At 36.7% G+C, this 20,847-nt stretch overlaps 1 protein-coding gene across 7 annotated transcripts in view; it reads right to left on the bottom strand.

Annotated features, from left to right (window-relative positions):
* OTOGL (otogelin like) overlaps positions 1-20,847 on the bottom strand; it is a 281,344-nt gene that overhangs the window by 148,285 nt on the left and 112,212 nt on the right. For 5 of the 7 annotated variants that reach the window (NM_001368062.3, NM_001378610.3, NM_001378609.3 and 2 more), the window contains 5 exons: positions 20,599-20,647; positions 14,932-14,998; positions 12,684-12,782; positions 10,351-10,505; positions 3,218-3,339 (listed from right to left, as the gene is read on the bottom strand). In NM_001368062.3, coding sequence (NP_001354991.2) covers positions 3,218-3,339; positions 10,351-10,505; positions 12,684-12,782; positions 14,932-14,998; positions 20,599-20,647 — 492 coding nt within the window. Of the gene's footprint in view, positions 1-3,217; positions 3,340-10,350; positions 10,506-12,683; positions 12,783-14,931; positions 14,999-15,112; positions 15,267-15,373; positions 15,517-20,598; positions 20,648-20,847 lie in introns of those variants that run through there. The other 2 variants (XM_011538193.2, XM_011538192.3) reach the window with 2 other exon arrangements.

The raw sequence follows: 20,847 nt of genomic DNA, 5'->3' as shown, positions 1-20,847 counted from the left end.
CTGGTGATTTGTTAAACCTGGAAAATAACCTTGCCTATTTAGTATACTTAGAGCTTAAACATGTTTATTATTTTTTATCTAGAGAGTTAAAGTGATCTAAAAATGCTGCTCAACAATTTTGAAGCAAAGACAATCATCAAAATATACAAACATGATGCTTGAGTTTTCTGATTTTGTTTAATTTTATTTTAAACGTGGCTATAAGGAAATATGAGTTTCTATCTTTAAAATGACACCTTGACATAAGTCATTGTTTTCTAAAAAAAATCAAAGGATGACGTATTATAACTTACATATTTAATGCCACAAAGTACAATATTAGGGATATAATGTACTTTGTCATACAGTATTGCATAGAGGTGATACTCAAAATTTTTAAATTGGATACCTTTTGGGCTATTTAAACAAGGGTCACATAAAATATTTAAGCTCCTGATACAAAGTCTAATTTTTCCATTTTTCACAAGCATATGCACATATAAAGGAAGTGGGTGACATAAGGTAACTGAAGAGAACTAAACAATTGAATATTTTAAAAGCACCTAGAATACTTTTGAAAGAACACAATTATCCTTTCATCCATCAGTACTGCCAAAAAGAGTAAGTACTAATAATTACAGAAATTGGAAAAAACTCATTTCTATTAAGATAGTCATGTCAGCTGGGCTCGGTGGCTCACGCCTGTAATTCCAGTGCTTTGGGAGGCCAAGGTGGGTGGATCACAAGGTCAGGAGTTCGAGACCAGACTGGCCAACACAGTGAAACCCCGTCTCTACTTCAAAAAAAAAAAAAAAATTAGTTGGTCATGGTGCACGTGCCTGTAGTCCCAGCTCCTTGGGAGGCTGAGGCAGGAGAATCGCTTGAACCTGGGAGGCAGAGGTTGTGGTGAGCTGAAATCATGTCGCTGCACTCCAGACTGGGCAACAGAGTGAGACTCTGTTTAAAAATAATAAAAATAAAAATATTTTTTAAAAAGGTAGCCATGTCAAATAAAAATTATATACCATAATGTGAATAATATGGGTAGTTAATAGGTATATTCATACATTTCTCTCAAAAATTGCAAATTAGTGAGTTCCTTTCCAGGAAGAGCATGGCTTAATGGACCAAAAACTACAAAACTGAGCATACTAATTAACAAAGGGATAATCCCCAAAGAAACAATTCAAAATATCTGTAGCCATTTGCACAAAAAATTTTTTACAGATACTTATTTACAGAAAATTATTTACAAAACTAGAAAAATAGCTAAATGTTTAAATTGGAGAATACATAAAAAAGACTCTAGCTAACTACTGCCATAATGCATTCTTATTAAAAATTATAAATATGAGGAATTCATAGTAAAAGTCAATATGAAATAACATTAAAGAAATACCAATTGTTTTAAGTTTCTAAGTTTATAAAAACTATACTTAAAAGAAGTGAATCTTGTTTATAAATATATTTCAGAGTAATGGAAAGCTAATCTTATGGAAGTATAGTTGTACTATTATGCGTATTTTTTGCTTGGTCATTTGACACTTGGTCATTTGGTCTCTTTAACAGTAAATTTAATTAAATACTCAGTTTTTGAAAATAAAGGTGGAAAACTGTGATTATCCTGAAGTTTATAACACAGAAGGATGCCAGTGGAGATGGGAAATAATAGTTTAAACTAGACAATATTCAATAGGTCAAAGAAAAGCATGCAACCTAGGCAGGAAACATTAAAATGTAAACCTAAATGAATGCAGAACTGAATGCTGAAAAGTATTCAGGGATTCATTTGTACTGAAACCCCTTATTTCACAGGTGAAAGAACTGAAATCCAGAGAAGTAAAGCTTCATGCACAGAGCCACATGTTTGATTTTATTATGGCAAATATTTCTGTAGCATTTGCTATGAGTTAGGCCCCAAGCCAGGAACAGCATTTGTGTAAGCAATATTGCTGAATAAGAAGACCACCCTTTTTCTATCACACAATCTGAAATCCTCATAGAAATGCTTTCTCTGAGTTAAAATTAAATATTATGTTTCTCCTTTAATAAAGAAATAATATTCTTGAAAATCAATCTGAATGGCAAGTCTGTTTTACAAAACATGATAATTTTTTAAATGCCCATTGTATTACCCAAAATTCCATATAGAGAATCCTAAATGACTATCTAAATTCAGCTCTAGGAAATACACGTGTAACTGCATTATCTTCTTACTCAAATGCCTAAACTTTCTTTTATGGGAAAATGAGAAGTACAGAACCCAACTGACCAAGAAAATAAGCCTCAGACAAGGGGAGAAGCTGCTCTGGGTTGTCTGGCTGTTTCAAGGCTCCCCTGGTGCTCTTTCCACTGCCCTTTCTGCTACCACCTGCTGCCTTTTGAGGAATCTAAGCCCAGAAAAAGCAACACGGGTTGATAAAGCCATTGCGCTGGAAAGAATTCCTATGGTTCAAACACTTGTTAGTGAATTCTGAATGAATAGAATTGTTCCAGCCCACAATTTACTTGTTCTGGCATAATCCAGCCAGGAAATAATAAAAACTGAGTCTCTCTATAATTATTTAGATTGGAAGGTAGATTATTCCACAGTATTTCTAGGTTAAAACATAAAAAAAAAAAAACCTTCCACCAAATACGAAAACATCCCCTGCCCCAAAATTCTCATGTCATATTTTTGGCAGATAGGAAACTAGAAGTTGACTTCTCTCTGATCTATTCGAGGCCAGGCAGTTGTTGGCTCTCAGTCTGTCAGAACTTCCGTGGAAAATCTCAAGTGACACCCAAAACCCATTCACACAAACTTGGAAAGAACTTCCAGAATCCTTTCCAAATAAAAGAAAATAGATTTTTAAGTTTCTGCTTCAAAGAAAGAAGAAAATATTTAAGAAAGAGGGCAAAAAGAATCAAGAGTTGAACTCTTAAGATACTCTTAAGGTATCTCTTGAATCTCTCAGAAAAAAAAAAAGAGAGAGAGAGACTCTCATCTCCACCCATGTAAACATACTATGTTTATATTCTGCACACAAGCATTAGGAAGGGTAAACTTACTGTACTCTTGACCACCTGGCTGGCCTCAGAGCCTACCGAAGTTTTGATGTCTGTATGTTATAGCTTTAAGAGTATTGTTGAAGAAATCCTCTCTTCCTACTCTCCACAGTTCACTTCCAGCATGTGATGTTTGGAAATTCTATTAATTTGTGGTGTTACTGACATTTCACTGTTTCCCATATCCTACCTGATTCCATTCTTTTTTATTTCATGACCATAAATTCGAATTTCCTCTTGGTTTGAAAAGAACAAGCTGATTGACCGATAACAAGAATACACCGAACCAAGGCATTTAGGGCTGTTATGAACCTTAAAGGGAGAAAAACAAAAAGAAAGCATAGGAACAAACAATAAATCTGAGTTATTAAAACCACAATGTATGTTTACAATCATATAGTTTCATTAGTCCCATGACACTTTACAACGTTATAACTACATTTGGGATTTCTGAGAGAAAAGAAATATTTACCTCAGAAATTGGGCAACAAAATTAACTTCCTAAAATACAAGTTAATCAGCATATTTTTGAACGATTTGAATCTTCGCATGTTGGATGTTAATATTCTCAAGGTACATGGTATGCTTTGGGAGAAATTAGTTCTAATAGTAAAACTCTGGAGTGCCACAAAGAAGCACATTTGTCATCCGTATTTTTTACCTATTAGAGAATCATAAAACAGAGCTTTGAATGGAGCACTACACAAAGCAATATTTAAAGGTTGAAAAGTGACCATGAACTCACTAAAAATAAAATTGATTTTATTTTTATTTATTGCCAGACACATTAGGGAAGAGAGAGATTATTTTTCAAAAAATTAATAGGAAAATTAGTTTAAAAAAAAAGAATGAAAGGAAGAAAAGAAGAAAGGAAGAAAAGAGAAGAGGAAGCTTAGATTATTTTACCCTATACCAAAATTAATTTCAAAAGGTCCAAAAAGTAAAGTATAAATGTCTAAACCATGACATAACTGAAAGAAAACAGAGATTACAACTATAGAGGTGGAAAAGAACTTTCTAAGCCTAAAAGTGACTTTTAAAATTGTCAATAATATACGGGTTTTTTGTTTGGTTTGGTTTTGTTTTGGGGTTTTTTTTGTTTGTTTTTGTTTGTTTGTTTGTTTTTTGAGATAGAGCCTCTCTCTGTCACCCACGCTGGAGTGCAGTGGTGTGATTGCAGCTCCCTGAAACCTCTGCCTCCTAGGTTCAAGTGATTCTCGTGCCTCAGCCTCCCAAGTAGCTGGGGCTATAGGCGTGTACCACCAAACCGGCTAATTTTTCTATTTTTTTGGTAGAGATGGGGTTTCACTATGTTAGCCAGGCTGGTCTCAAACTCCTGACCTCAAGTGATCCAACCACCTCAGCCTCCCAAAGTGCTGGGATTACAGGTGTGAGTCACTACGCCCAGCCTCAATAATATAGTTTTAATATTGTAGTAATTTAATGTATATTAGTTTTATGCTTAATCAGCAAATTGTATTGATCATTTATTATGTACCAGGCACTGTTCTAGGTACTGGGGATAGAGCAGTCAACAGAGCGGACAAAACTATCTGCCCTCATGAAACTTGTATTCTATTAGAGGAAAACGGCTAATAGAAAATATAGCTATGTGAAGCTAAAATATATACTATGTTAAATGATATTAAGGAGAAATATTAAGCAGGGAAAGGGGATAGGGTATGTGTCAAGGTCTGGGGGCAATTTCAGAGTGAGTGGTCAAAGAAGGCCTTGCTGAAAAGATGAACTTCTAGTAAAGATGGAGCGTGAGAGAGAGAAAGCCATATGGGATATCTGGAATACCATTCTAGGCAAAGGAAATAGCAAGTATAAAAGTCTGAGGGAAGAGTAGGCCTAAAATGTTCTCAGGATCCATGAATCCAAGCGTCTGATGCCAGACTAGATGTTGGAGGATTCTTCTTTCGGGAAACAAAATGGAAAAAAAGACATATAGATCCTAATATTTGGGGGTTTATCTAATGAAACAAGCAGATCCTTGCTCACTCTCACAGTAGTCCAACAAGCTCCCATGCATATATCCAGAGTTTCCAATTCGCTTTTAGAGCCTTATTCTCTAATGTGAACAAATATTCATGAATCATTAGTCATTTGATGAAAGTCTGCGACATGAAAGACATCAAATAAACAAAAGAAAGGGAATCAAAGAAATAAAAAACAATTTAGAAAAACCCAAAAACTTTAAAAATACATAGTTGATATCTTCTGAGAGAAAAATTATATATGCCATCCTTGACCTGAGAATAAAATGTTGCTGAAAACGAAATTCAAAGAATAAAAACAAATAATTGAATACTGACAATATAAAAGGAGAAATGTATAACTGAAGTAGAAAGGTGAGAAGATAAACATCTCAGAATTGGACAGAAATATCCCGAAATGTAGAACAAAAAAGGAAAAAAGTGGAAAATAGGCAAGAATCAGTGAGAAAATTAAGGGATCACTCCACCCCAGAGCTCCAATATATTAGCTCCAATATAAAAGCCCATCAAGTGCCCAGCACAAAAGAATGGGAAAGGAAATTCACATAATTACAAAATCTCAGAACTCTGGGAATTAAAAGATCTAAAAACTTCTGGAGGTTGAGTAAGGTTATATGTAAAATGATCAGAAATGAGAGTGAATTGAAATTTAAAATTCTGAAAGTGATTTTTAAATTAAAATCAAGGCTTCAAAAATTCTCTTCCCATGCACACTTTCCAGGAAAGTATCTTCCCTTTCCAGGAACCAACTTAGTCAATTAAAATAAGTGACTAAACAAAGAGGAAATGGGTTCTTGCTTAATCACCACTACAAACACTGGCCACACATTCAGAGCATCCAATAAGCTTTTCAGAACCTATCTCTCTAGTATGAACAAAGTTAAAGGACCACTAGACATCGGTGGGAACCAAGAAAGAGGAAAACTGGTGAGAGAGAAGAATAAAATTCTCCAGTAGGATGACAAAAAGAAAACCCAAGTGATAGGTGTACAGTAGACTTCAAAAGCAACTAGTCTGGATTGAAAGATGGGAAGGAAAACTGAGGAAGGATTGTCTCATGAGGGAAAAGAGAAGCTGATAACTTGCTTAATGCATCTGACCATATTGAAGAGTTTTATAGAGGTAGAGAGTTAGGAAAAATATTAGTGACTGGAGTAAAGAGAATACAGCAAAGAAAAAATGGGATAACTGTTTACTCTAGAAAAATATACAAGTAGAGACAGAAAATCATCATAACCTATTGGGATCAGCTCTAAACAATATTTACATAGTGACAATAATATAAAAAATATAAATTATTTAACCAAAAATGGTGACATAACTCTATTAGGAGGAGTGAAGGGAAGTGTGTGTGTGTGTGTGTGTGTGTGTGTGTGTGTGTGTGTGTGTGTTAGGAGCAGGAAGGGTGGCATAACTAAGATAATTTCTCATTTTCCGTAACAGGAAGTGAAGGAATAAGGCCTAACTTTGAAAAATAAAGAGATAATGGCATATTTTGATGTGTAAGATAAAAACCAGAAGAAACAGCTAAATTAGTTGAAGTAATTGTCTCTTGTGAGCCAGGCTTCTGCTAGGGTGGAGGATGAAGGAAGGCAGAGGCTATTTTTTGCCATATATTCTGGGATGAAATCTTTCACCATACACATATATTATTTTCATAAAAATAAAATAGAATTTAAAGATGGAAAAAATAGTCGGGGGTATAGATAAGGATATCTGTATGATAATGTTTATCAACATATCCTTTGAAATTCTATTTTAAAAAAATCTAAATTTCCAATATAGGACATCATTAACTTATTTGAGTATTACAGAAGTTGGAAAAAATACAGCTAACTGTATTTGGATGTATCAAGAATATTTAACATTGAAGGAAGTTGAAGACATAATATTAATTGAAAGTGTAGGACAGAAAACTATAATTTAAATTTTATAAGTATGTATAAAATTCAGAGCAAAATGTTGAGAAGGAAATAGGTGAAGCTGTTAACCAATGGTAACTCTTAAGTGATAATTTTAACATTTTTCAGACTTCTCTGAATTTTCCAAATTTTCTACAAAAGAAATGAACTGCTTTTATAATCAAGGGGAAAGTGACATTTCAAGTAAATTGATGTATTTATTTGAAAGAAAATTTTACTACTCAAAACAAGGCCAAGTAGAAACAATATCTACTAACTCCAGAGGCATAGTTCAGCATTGTGTGTTACTAACAAAGGACAGGTTATCTCGTTGACACCTCAGTCCTCAAAAGAGTGGGACACTGAACAAGAACATTTTAAAGAGAAGGTCAAAGGGTATTCAAGTGAGAAAACAAGTGAGGGGTGGGGGAGTAGTAGACAATGAGAGAACTGAGAACAGGAGACCTGCAAGCACAGAAGATGCATTTCACCAACTGCCCTATCTAAAGAGACCTCTAAATTTTTATTCTTATGCCCCATAAGTGAACTTTCAATATATCTCATTTCTTTTTTTTTACTTTAAATACATTTGTTATTTTGTTTAGTTTTTTATTTTTGATTTTTGTGGTTACATAGTAGGTGTATATACATATATATATGGGGTACAGGAGATGTTTTGATATAGGCATGCAATGTTACATAATCACATCATGGAGAAAGACATATGCATCCCCTCAAACATTTATCCTTTGTGTTACAAACAATCCAATTACACTTTTTAAGTTATTTAAAAATGTACAATTAAGATATTATTGACTATAGTCACCCAGTTGTGCTTCTTCTCTGGGTCACGAAGATTTGTAGCCTTAAAAAGTTTCAGGGTCTAAAAGTTTCAGGATACAAAATTAATCTACACAAATCAGTAGCCCTACTATACACCAACAGTGGCCAAGCTGAGAATCAAATCAAGAACTCAACCCCTTTTACAATAGCTGCAAAAAACATTAAAATACTTAAGAATATATTTAATCAAGGAGGTGAAAGACCTCTACAAGGAAAACTACAAAACACTGCTGAAAGAAATCATAGACAACACAAACAAATAGAAACACATCCCATGCTCGTTGATGGGTAGAATCAATATTGTGAAAATGACCACACTGCCAAAAGCAATCTACAAATTCAATGCAATTCCCATGAAAATACCACCATCATTCTTCACAGAACTAGAAAAAACAATCATAAAATTCATATGGAACCAAAAAAGCCACATAGCCAAAGCAAGACTAAGCAAAAAGAACAAAGTTTGAGGCATTACATTACCCGACTTCAAACTATAGTATAAGGCCATAGTCACCAAAACAGCATGGTACTGGTATTAAAACAGTCATATAGAACAACAGAGAATCCAGAAATAAAGCCAGATGCTTACAGCCAACTAATTTTTGACAAAGTAAACAAAAACATAAAGTGGGGAAAGGACATCCTATTCAACAAATGGTGCTGGGATAATTGGCTAGCCACATGCAGAAGAATGAAACTGGATCCTCATCTCTCACTTTATACAAAAATCAACTCAAGATGGATAAAATACTTAAATCTAGACGTGAAACCATACAAATTCTAGAATATAACATTGGAAAAGCTTTCTAGACATTGGCTTAGGCAAAGCATTCATGACCAAGAACCCAAAAGCAAATACAGCAGAAACAAATATAAACAGACAAGACTTAATTAAACTAAAAAGCTTTTATGCAGCAAAAGAAATAATCAACAGAGTAAACAGACAAGTCACAGAGTGGAAGAAAATCTTTGCAATCTATACATCCAACAATGGACTAATATACAGAATCTACAAGGAACTCAAACAAATTAGCAAGAAAAAAACAAACAATTCCATCAAAAAGTGAGCTAAGGACATGAATAGACAATTCTCAAAAGAAGGTATACAAATGGCCAACAAACATGAAAAAATTATCAACATCACTAATTATCAGAGAAAAACAAATGAAAACCACAATACAATACCACTTTATTCCTGCAAGAATTACCATAATTTAAAAATCAAAAAATAATAGATGTTGGTATGGATGTGGTGAAAAGGGAACACTTTCACACGGTTGTTGGTAATTTAAACTAGTACAACTACTATGAAAAAGAGTATAGAGATTCCTGAAAGAACTAAAAGTAGATCTACCATTTGACCCAGCAATCCTACTCCTAGGTATCTCCCCAGAAGAAAAGAAGTCATTATACAAAAAAAGATACCTGCATACACATGTTTATAGCAGTACAATTCACAATTGCAAAAACATGGAACCAGCCCAAATGCCCATCAATCAATGAGTGGATAAAGAAAATATGATATATATACATATATGCCATATATATATACATATATATACATACACACACACACACCATGGAATACTACTCAGCCATAAAAAGGAACAAAATAATGGCATTTCCAGCAACCTGGGTGGAATTGGAAAGCATTAGCCTAAGTGAAGTAACTTGGGAATAGAAAACCAAACATCATATGTTCTCACTCGTAAGTGGGAACTAAGCTATGAGAATGCAAAGGGATAAGAATTACACAATGGACTTTGGGGACCAAGGGGAAAGGCTGGGGGGTGATGAGGGGTAAAAGACTACACATTGGGTACAATGTACACTGCTCAGGGGATAGTGGACTAAAATCTCAGAAATCAACATGTAACCAAACACCATCTCTTCCCCCAAAAACCTATGAAAAAAAAGAAGTTTCAGGGCCTACTTTTAATATTTGCATCACCTTAGAAAGGAGGAGAATGTAGGCAGCCCCAACGTAAGTAAAAAGGGAAAGCATAACAGAGATTCAAATATGTTTTGACTATGGAGAGTTGTAGCTTTTAAATCCAACAACATAGCAGTTTCCTGGTAGTGATTGAAATACCTAGAAATTCAGAAGATAGTAGGCAAAGAAAGAGGTCCCTGACATCCTTATTCAACTAGAGCCACTCTGAAGCTTATATTTTCGAGAGGTCTCCTAAGAATTCATTTGAATCAAGAATTCTGCAACTAAGAATTAATTCTCTGAGTTCAGTCATATAGTATCAAACTACCTAGCAATTAGCTGTCAGTCTTCACATCCGATAGCCTGTGCTTATGTAACTCATACACTCCATTTTATAAATGTTAGCCTCTGGTTCATACTGAGGGTGTCATTTCAAAAAACTAAACCAGCTGGACATATCTCACTGGAAGTATCAGGAAGGAAGGAAGTGTGAGTAATATGGTTCGTAACTGAACCCAGACCCTCTTCAAAATAAGTATTCATTCTATTATTAGTATATATTTTGCATCATTTTCCCAGTACTTTAAAAATACATACTTTTCCAGAGATAATATTTTTAAGTTAATCATGTCCTACAATCACCTACCCATACAGTGTACCGAGGCTCCAAATCACCACAGTCCTTTGCAAAAATGTAAGAACAGTTTCCTGGGAAGTAATAGTAGATGCCATCGAATGTTTCAAAATGATACTGTCCCCAGGTTTTACAAATCCCATCTCTGCCGTTGCCCATGTTTGGGACTGAAAAGAAACAGGATAATATTTTGTAGGCAAAATAAATTACACGTTTCTAGCAATGTTCAGTCAGTCATGGTAAATGATTCTAATTTTCATTCAAATTTCCTTCCTTGGTCTATAACACAGGAAGAAATAACTAACATAAAATTAACAGTTGCTCTCAAAACTATCAAACTCCCCTGAAGAAAAACAGGGTCTCCAAGTAGTTATGAAGAAAAGATTTATGTTAGAAAGTTTCTTAACTTTTGTTTTCAAAGAAAGATTCTAGAAGAAAAAAAGGAGTATGGAAAATAATTCAGTAAAAGGTGATAGTAATAAAGCAAGTAAGATGGCTCAGAAAAAAGAGAAATGTCACCACTGAGTGTCCTAAAGATTAGCATATACAGCATCAGAGTGTTCTAGTCTTTCAAAAACGTCTTTTTATGGTATCCACAGAGAAAAATAACTATTGACCAAAAAAAGTCATATTTACGTGTCTGGGACCTGGATGTGGGGAGCATTAGTCATTCAAAGTATGCTGGAATTTGGCTGGTGTGGTGGCTTGTACCTGTAATCCTAGCAATTTGGTAGGCCAAGGTGGGCAGGTTACCTGAGCTCAAGAGTTTGAGACCAGCCTGGGTAACATGGTGAAACTCCGTCTCTACTAAAATACAAAAAATTAGCCAGCATGGTGGGGTGGCACGCATCTGTAATCCCAGCTACCCAGGAGGCTGAGACACAAGAATTGCTTGAACCCAGGAGGCGGAGGTTGCAGTGAGCCAAGATTGCGCCACTGTACTCCAGCCTTGGTGACAGTAAGACTCTGTCTCCAAAAAAAAAAAAAAAGGTATGCTGGAATTTAATAATTCATGACCTCAAACTGGCCAAATTTCAAGCAATATTTATCTTAAATCATGCAACTGTATCTCCTATTGTCATGCCTACCTTTTTTTCTTACCCTTGTAGATAATCTTCTATTCAATTTTTGTTTTCTAAATTCTTCTCTTTAGAATAATATGAAAACCAGTAACATTCACTGAGCACTCAATACATGTAAAACATTTTGATACACTCTGGGTGGGGGGCATAAAGGTAAGGGTGACTCTTTACATCTTGTATTTTTGTGATTCCCACCTAAATTTATTAGCCTTGGACAACTGTGGCCTTTTCAGGAAAAAACATAGAATTATTCATTATTCAGGCAGTCTTCCCTGACAGTATGCCCCACCTCTGCTTCATTTTTTCATAGCATCTTGTACTTTACAGCACCTGTAACAAGTTTAATTATTGTGTATCTGTTGTGTATTTATCACCTTCTCTAGACTGCAGCCTCCAAGAGGACAGGAACATGTTTCTATTATTCACCGTTGCATCCCCAATGCCTAGCCTGGGATCTAGATGCCAGTAAACATCGATTAAACAAATGAATATTTATTGATTATTATTGACATAGAATCCTATCTTAGACACTGTGGATAAAAGATTTAAAAAAAAAAAAAAAAGCCCTTGCCCTCGAAGAAGTCTCAGTACTATTTTTTTACATACAAAGTGTCCAGTTAATTAAAGGTCCAAAAGAATGACTGGCTCCAAATAATAAATCTGTTTTATAAAGCAAAAGAGAGATGAATGAGAACCTGGTTTTAATAGGCTATTACTGGCCAGGCACAGTGGCTCATGCCTGTAATCCCAGCACTTTGGGAGGTCAAGATGGGAGGATCACCTGAGTTCAGGAGTTCAAGAGCATCCTGGCCAACATGGTGAAACCCCATCTCCACAAAAATACCAAAATTAGCCAGACATGATGGTGGGTACCTGTAGTCCCAGCTACTAGGGAGGCTGAGGTGGGAGAATCGCTTGAGGTTGGGAGGCAGAGATTGCAGTCAGCCAAGATCGTGCCATTGCACTCCAGCCTGAGTGACAGAGTGAGACTCTGTCTCAAAAAATAATAATAATAATAATAGGCTATTACTATAGAAAGTAGAAAAAATACTTGAAGCAATAAGAGAGCTCAATGAGAAGGGAAAGTGGCCCTATCTACTTTTGTTTTACTTTGTTTCTAAATTACATCAAATTACTGAGAATGAATTGTGGGCTCTCTAGTTAATATACAACTCCCAATGGATGAACATTATTATAGCAAATTATGCCTTAATTTTCTCCTTGGTATCTCATAATTATCTCACAAGCATCCCTGAAACTTACTGATCTGGCATCTTGTCCCAAGAGCCTGAAATATTTGACAGTCACATGTTCCAGTCTTAGAACAGAAAGCTCCATTAAGGCATTCATAAGGACAAGAACCTGAGGGGGAAAAAAAAAAAAAAGTTATCTTCTGGCATCCATTTGTTCTTTTAAGCATAATATGTCAAGATATAGCTTGGACAAATTGTAATCACTATTAACTTAAACAGAACTCTCAGCCTCTTGCCTTGCTAAGCTAAAGAACTAAACCCAACAAGTCTCTATCTAGTTCATTTTATTATGTGTGCTGTGAAGCAAGAAAGGCAGGCTTTCACATCTCAGACTACCCTGAGAGCAAAGGTTAGCTCCTTTCAAGCAATTCAAAGGTCAAGTTCCCATGTAAGGAATCTCTGTCCCAGATGATGAGAACCAGAAATACACAAGCTGCAGATGATTCCGTTGACAGAGTTTGGCGCTGGCTGCACATCCCATCAGCTCCTCTTCCAGGAGCAAACACTCTATTAAAGAATAGGGTCTCTCATGCCTGTAATCCCAGCACTCTGGGAAGCCAAGGCAGGCAGATCATTTGAGGTCAGGAGTTCGAGACCAGCCTGGCCAACGTGGTGAAACTCCATCTCTACTAAAAACACAAAAATTAGCTGGGTGTGGTGGTGCATGCCTGTAGTCCCAGCTACATGGGAGGCTGAGGCAGGAGAATCACTTGAACCCGGGCAGTGGTGGTTGCAGTGAGCCGAGATCACGCCATTGCACTCCAGGCTGGGTAACAGAGCTAGACTCTGTCTCAACAACAACAAAAAAAGAATCGGGTCAATCATTAACTTGAGGGATCAGGCAAAGCATAAAACTCAAAGGGAGACTCCTGCTTTTGAAGAGAATGATTAAACATTTCATTTGAGGTTTGTATATTAATCCTCAGGCTCAATTACAAATGACACATTCTTTGAAACCTTTGCTGCCAGGCATGGTGGTAGACACCTGTAATCCCTGCTACTCAGGAGGCTGAGGCAGGAGAATCGCTTGAATCCAGGAGGCAGAAGTTGCAGTGAGCCGAGATCGCGCCACTGCACTCCAGCCTGGGTGACAGAGCAAGACTGTCTCAAAAAAAAAAAAAAAAAAAGAAAGAAAAAGAAAAAAAAAGAAATCTATACTTAAATTTTGATGAAGCAGAAGCCAAAGTCACTGCTGTCACCAAAAATATTCTTTCTTTCATAGAAAGAAAAGTTATAAAATTGTTCCAACAGATTATGTTAAAAAGAGAAAGCAAGTAACTGTGAGCTCTAACCCTAATTTTACCATCATCTCCTGAGTGAGTTTTAAAAATGCAAATGAATCAGTGAAAAAATTTCCTCTAATAAGGAGAGGACAAGAGGCAACTGGCAAAACTCAAGCAGGAAGAATTTAACACATGAGGAGAACCACAGAACATCTTAATTCCCAGAAGATAGTTATATAATTGATCATTTGACCACAGTTCTGCCGAAGGCAAGAATTCAAAAACCTTTATGATTCCTCTCCACCTTAAGATCCACTGATCTAAAATGTCTCTTTACTTTTCAAAATGCACAAATCTCCAACTATATCTTCAGTGAGGAAAAAATATGCTGTTTTAACTTAGTCCATAAATACGGGTAGAAAAAAAATGATGTTTTTCATAAATTTAAATGCAGTTTTTTCCACTAGGTGCACATCTGTATTTGCACTTTATCTTAGATCAACAGTCTTGCATTTTTCTGATGAAGAGATGTTAAATATTTAGATAAACAAATGTATTGCCTTTAAAAATGTATTTACAGTCCTGCTTATTCTCCTGAAAACAAATATCAAATGAAAACTAGTGAGGATCATTGTTATTTTAAACACAACAGTGATAGTTTCTATTTCATAGTTACCACTCAAATTAAATTTCAAACTACCATCAGCATTCTGCTTAATGGAAATGGGGAATTGGTAACAAAAAACAGGGATCAAAGAGCAAGTAATTTATTCACAAAAAAATAGTTTCTTACATCCAGTGACATCTTCCCTGGTCATGCAGTTATCAGGTTTGTCTAAATGTTTGGCCCTGGTTATTCTCAGAAACAATTCAAATTTCTCTAAGAAGTGAACTTAAATTATTACTAAGTATTACTACCATCCTGGCTCACTTTCCTTCATGTGGTATACGGAAACAATAAATACTTGATTCAATATATCCCCCAAAGGGATTTTCTGAGAAAGCAAATATGAAAACCTAAGTATAAACACTGACCTTTTATTTTGCTCTCACCCCAATTAATAGCATCATGGAAAAAGTATCTCGGAGAAGTAGCTTCAAACTTTGAAAGAAAGAAATGAGAATGCAATACAGTTAAATTATTTAATTCAAGCCAAACATGCAAATTGGCAAATCTAGAAAATAACTACAAATACAGAAATGATAAAGTGCTGACTTTATATTTTCTGGGGTTATTGAGGCTTATCATCTCCATGAGGCAGAAAGGGTTCCTCTGAGGTTGTGGTTAGAAGACCTGATTCAAGTCTTGGTTTTGCCTCTTACATGACTTTGACAAGTCTATATTTACTTTGTCTGCTCTCTGTTCTGTTCTCACTTCCCATCCTCCCTCCCCTTCCCATCATCCAGTCTTCCCCCCAGCCCCCGATCCCTCCACCCACCTCGCAACCTCATGAAAGGAGCCTGGTTGGAGTCTAACCTTTGGAATAATTGACTGCTTTGCCTGCAGAAATAGCAATTCTCTGACACTTCCAGGCGCAGATAGGTTTGGAAAAAAAAAATGCATGGGGCTGACAGACCAACAGATGGTGATGTCCTGCCTGCCTGCACACCAATCGGTAAAGAAAACATCCACAGAAGCATCTGCTGTTTCGGTGCCAGTGTGTCACCTTCAGGCTCCAAAGAGCTGACTGACACTGTAAAGTTCATAGAACATTTTTTTTTCTTTCTTTCTTTTTCTTTTCTTTTATTATTATTATACTTTAAGTTTTAGGGTACATGTGCACAACGTGCAGGTTTGTTACATATGTATACATGTGCCATGTTGGTGTGCTGCACCCATTAACTCGTCATTTAGCATTTAAATATATCTTTTTATAGAGCCCAAGGTAGTTCAGAGTAGTGGTAAACAGCATGAATTTTGAATCAAACAAAGCTGGATTAGAATCCTGACTCCGTAATTACTTACCCTTAGGCAAGTTTCCTAACCTCTTAGTGCCTCTATTTACTCATCTGTAAAAGGGGAACAACAATGGCACTTCCCTCGTTGTATAGTTAGGATAATGAATTAAAGCCATGTACGTGAAGCTTACATACATAGTGCCTCACACAGAAAATTAGCAAAAAAGAGATTTATGTCAATCAATCTAAGCAATCCAGATGAAATTTTAAGGTTTTTAAAAGATCTATATGGCTAAGTAGCAAATAGTTGTGGCTTACTAAAACTAATCAATTGTGGATTATTATTCCAACTCCATACCAATTGAGTGTATGGGCTGGGGCAATATTCTTTCCAATAGCACTTATATTTCACCAGAATAAACACACCCAAACTTGCCAAATAATTGTCAAATTAAGTAGCAGATGATATTAGAAAAACTGAAGAAGGGGGAAAGATAAGAAGGATGGGAAAATGAGCCATGTGACTTCAGGAACAGAGTTGTTTCTCAGCAGATTCTAGTCTCCCTTACGTGAAGTTTTATTTTGACATTTTCCATCTCAGCACTTTTTACTTCAACAGGAAAATCTACCCGTGCTATATCATTTTTTTTAAGAGATGGGGTCTCGCTGTGTTTCCTGGGCTGGGCTTAACTCCTGGACTCAAAGTGATCCTCCTGCCTCGGCCTCCTGAGTAGCTGGGACTGCAGGCGCATGCCATCATGTCAGCCCATGCTATATAAAAGACACACTCTCTCACTATTTGAAGATTTCTTTCTAATCTCTTTGCCCCACACAATGGTTTCAAGTTCATTGTCTCCTGTTCTCAATACTCCCAGGTCTTATCCTCACTGTTCAATCTCCCCTTTTTGTTCTTGCCTCTGCCTTCAAACTAAATTAGATGCAACAACAGTCTATGACCTCAATTCCCTCAAGATGGCAAGTCTTATTCTCTCTTCAGCCACATTGCTTCTGGCTGCCTAAATCTAACACAGCCCTGGATATTACTGGACACCAAAACCTTCTTCCTTTGGCTCCAAAATGATTTATGTCTATCCCTTTAATGGAAGCCAATCATCTCTGATACTCACTAAAAGTGTATAATGACTTCTACTCTATAATGACTTCTACCTTATAGGGCCTATCGCCTTGAACAAATTATTCAACCCGCTCAGGTTCAGTTTCCCAATCTATAAAATAAAAGTTCCTGCCTCACAGAATCGTGAGGATTCAGTGAAATTATGTGAGTGACACACCAAGAATAGTGCCAGGCACATAATAAGAGTTGTAAACATGCAGGCCGGGCGCGGTGGCTCACACCTATAATCCCAGCACTTTGGGAGGCCGTGGTGGGTGGATCTCCTGAGGTCAGGAGTTCAAGACCAGCCTGACCAACATGGTGAAACCCCATCTCTACTAAAAATACAGAAAATTAGCCAGGGTTTGTGGTATGTGCCTATAATCCCAGTACTCAGGAGGCTAAGGCAGGAGAATAGCTTGAACCCAGGAGGCAGAGGTTGCAGTGAGCGGAGATCAGGCCATTCACTCCAGCCTGGGCAAGAAGAGCAAAACTCTCTCTCAAAAAAAAAAAAAAAAAAGACTTGTAAACATGCTACCTGTTTTTATTGTTAGGCAAAAACTGAAAACATTGGATAACACAAGCAAGATAAAAATATATAATTTGTTTCTTGCTCCATATCCTTTGACCTAACTCAATCCACATCTCCTTTATGGAAATTAGAATGACTCCCTAGCACACCACCTCTCTGGCTACAACAACATCCTATTTATCCAGCATCCCATACATCATAATACATTTCACCAAGGCTAAGGTGTGACATGCAGATTTTATTTATTTATTTATTGACATATTTGAACTCAGAATGGCATCTTACATTTATAATTGGAGCATATTTATTTTTTATGTCATATAAATAATGGTAAATGATTGAGGTTGTCTTGGATTCAATGAACCAATTGCACAGAAATGACTTCTTCATAAGCCTACCTCCGTAACAGATGGAGTTTCTAGATAACAGGCACTGCTATTCTTGTTTATATCTCACTGTCCTTGGTATGTCATCAACAAATACCAACTGAACTGAAAAAAGAGACATGGTTCAAATGGGAATCTGTCTCCCAAGGGTGTTTAGAGCCACGACTGCAGCAGACTTTGTTGATGCCTCTCCCCACATCCTCTCAGCCCACCTCTGAATTCACCTTGGAATTCATCTGGATTTCTGTGCACACTGAAAGCCTGCAACTTCAGCACTAGCTTCTTTCTGTCTTTGCCTGAGGGCAGAGTCCAAGCAGAAAAGACTATAGAAAGTGCCTTCCTGGAGATTTTAGGCTCTCCAGAGGTTTCCCTCAACCTAGAAATTATTCTAGGACGCATTCTACATGGTTCTTCAGAAAGTCTCCAATAAGACTGAGCTCCAGCTGCCTACAGCAGAAAGCCCCTCATTAATGCACCCCATATTTTATTTTCTCCCTTCTTCACATCATTTTCCTTTCTCCTTTATTTGTACACTTTCCAAATAAATGACCTGCACCTAAGTCTATGTCTTAGGGCCTGCTTTCAGGAAAGGAACTTTTGGAATGTAATGCCAATGCAAAAAAGTCCCAGGCAGTAGGTGCATGTATTCACATGACTGATAAGAGGACAGCCCACCCTTCCTCCTTCCTGATTACATCTCCACAGGACGGAGAGAGGCCCAGGGAAATACAGTCTTTAGATGGGAAATCACTGCAGCACACAAATACACTATTTACAGAAGTCTGCGTTTACCCTTTCTTGCTCACCTCATTGCCAACATATTTCTGAGTCCTTATTTGCGCACTTATCTACCCATTGGTGCTCTGTTTTCCTAGAGCAGAAGAGTGAATGTATGGATAAGAATGGCCTTGTAACACATGAAATTCCAATTCTAAACAGCTCAGTGCAAGATTATGACCTCATTGCCCGCTCTTCTTTTAAAAATTGTTCAGAAAATAAGTGATTTTGACACATGTTTTCTAGCCTTAGGAAGTAGTACAAGTCTCCTGCTCTTCATTCTCACTAAAAGGGAGTAAAGTATACAAATGCTGAAAACATCTAAATGGACAACAGTATAACCCCAATTTGACACTTAAGTATATCAGTACACAAAACACTCTTTTTAAGAAAAATAAAATGTATTTCCATTCCATAGACAACCCTTTGCCTATTCTGGCGTCAGAGGTGCTCCAACCAGAGTGGTTCCACCTTGAATAGGGGCTGGGTAAAATGAGTCTGAGATCTGCTGGGCTGCATTCCCAAGAGGTTAGGCATTCTTCGTCACAGGATGAGATAAGAGGTCAGCAGGACTGGCATCACAAGATACAGGTCATAAAGACCCTGCAGTAAAGAAACCGGCCCAATCCTGCCAAAACCAAGATGGCAATGAAAGTAACCTCTGGTTGTCCTCACTGCTCATTATACTCTAGTTATAATGCATTAACATGCTAAAAGACACTCCCACCAACGCCATGACAGTTTACAAATGCCCTGGCAACATCCAGAAGTTACCCTATATAGTCTAAAAGAAGAGGAACTCTTATTTCTGGGAAATTCCTGTCCCTTTCCTGGAAAACTCATGAATAATTCACCTCTTGTTTAGCATATGGTCAGAAATAACTACAAGTATACTCAGTCAAGCAGCTTATGCTGCTGCTCTGCCTATGGAGTAGCCATTCTTTCATTCCTTTACCTTCTTAATAAACTTGCTTTCACTTTACTCTGTGGACTTGCCCCAAATTCTTTCTTGCATGAGAACCAAGAACCCTCTCTTGGGATCTGGGTCAGGACCCCTTTCCAGTAACAATGGAACAAAAAAAAGGTCTCTACTCTTGATAAGAATAAATCAGTTCTGTCTTCTAACCAGACACAACAGCATATCAGATCTGTCTTCTATTTAACTACTAATTATCTTCAATTAACACTATAAAATACACAAATTCAGACATCTATCACAAAACGCTAATAAAAACTATTTGCAATTCAACATTTAACAAAGGCTTCCTTGAATATTCAAGCTGTCTGCTACATAAATACTCAAATCATATTCCTTTTCAAAGAAATGCCTTTACTAAGTTAGGATTCTGTATTTTACCATCCATCTTTTATAGAGAAATATTTTTAAACCCATCCATTTGAGCATTCCAACCAGTTTGAAGAAATTGCAATTATCCTTCATATAAAGGCACCCGGGCAAGAAGGTCTCCTCAAATGCAGTGCTACGCTGCCCCTCCAAAAAAAAGTTACCTATTCAGAGACACCCACAATTTAGATTTATCAGACATTATAAAAACTTTCTGTCAGGACATTAGGACATATCTGATGCCCTTTTGCAGTATTTAACTCATATTATTTACACATTTTTCGGCCCCTTTTTCCATGTACATTATACTGTTGTCATTGTCCTAACTGATATTGTGCTTAATTTTTAAACTACTTCTAATTTTCTGGCAAGTGCATGGAATTAAATGCCTCAAGCCTATTAGTAGGTAACTGAGCTGAATAGCAAAAAAAAAATGTGTATTTTATTCCAAACAAGTCGATGTGACCTAAGCATGAATTCGATGGTCGTAGAAAAGCAATAGAGGTTACTTTGCTTCTTCCTCCTCCTTCCTGTCTTGTTCTTAGCATTTTATTCCCCTCCACAAAGGTCTCATTGTTGAAGTGACAGCAGAGTCCAAAACAGAATGGATTATTTCTCTGCCTCTCTCTCCACCTGAAGCATAACCTACCTGTGCTGCTAAAAGAGCTCTTTTCTGTCGATTTTCATTAAACCCGTTTCTGGAAGAAAACAAAAAGAACTTGTACAGTCAAAGGCCCCTAGGCAACCTGAACAAGCCTTTCCCAAGAGAGAGCTGGTGTTTTCCTCCTGATTTCCATCACTTTATCAAAGAGGTCTTTCTTGGTTTAACATTTAAAAAGTCCTCCCTCCCCTTTCTGGAGGGGTTAGATTTGGGTGGTGGTGCTGTCTCATTTTACAA

The sequence above is a fragment of the Homo sapiens genome, chromosome 12 (genome assembly GCF_000001405.40).
Source record: "Homo sapiens chromosome 12, GRCh38.p14 Primary Assembly".
Lineage (NCBI taxonomy): Eukaryota > Metazoa > Chordata > Mammalia > Primates > Hominidae > Homo > Homo sapiens.
Note: the sequence above shows the minus strand (reverse complement) of the source record. Positions and strands in the feature narration are given on the sequence as shown.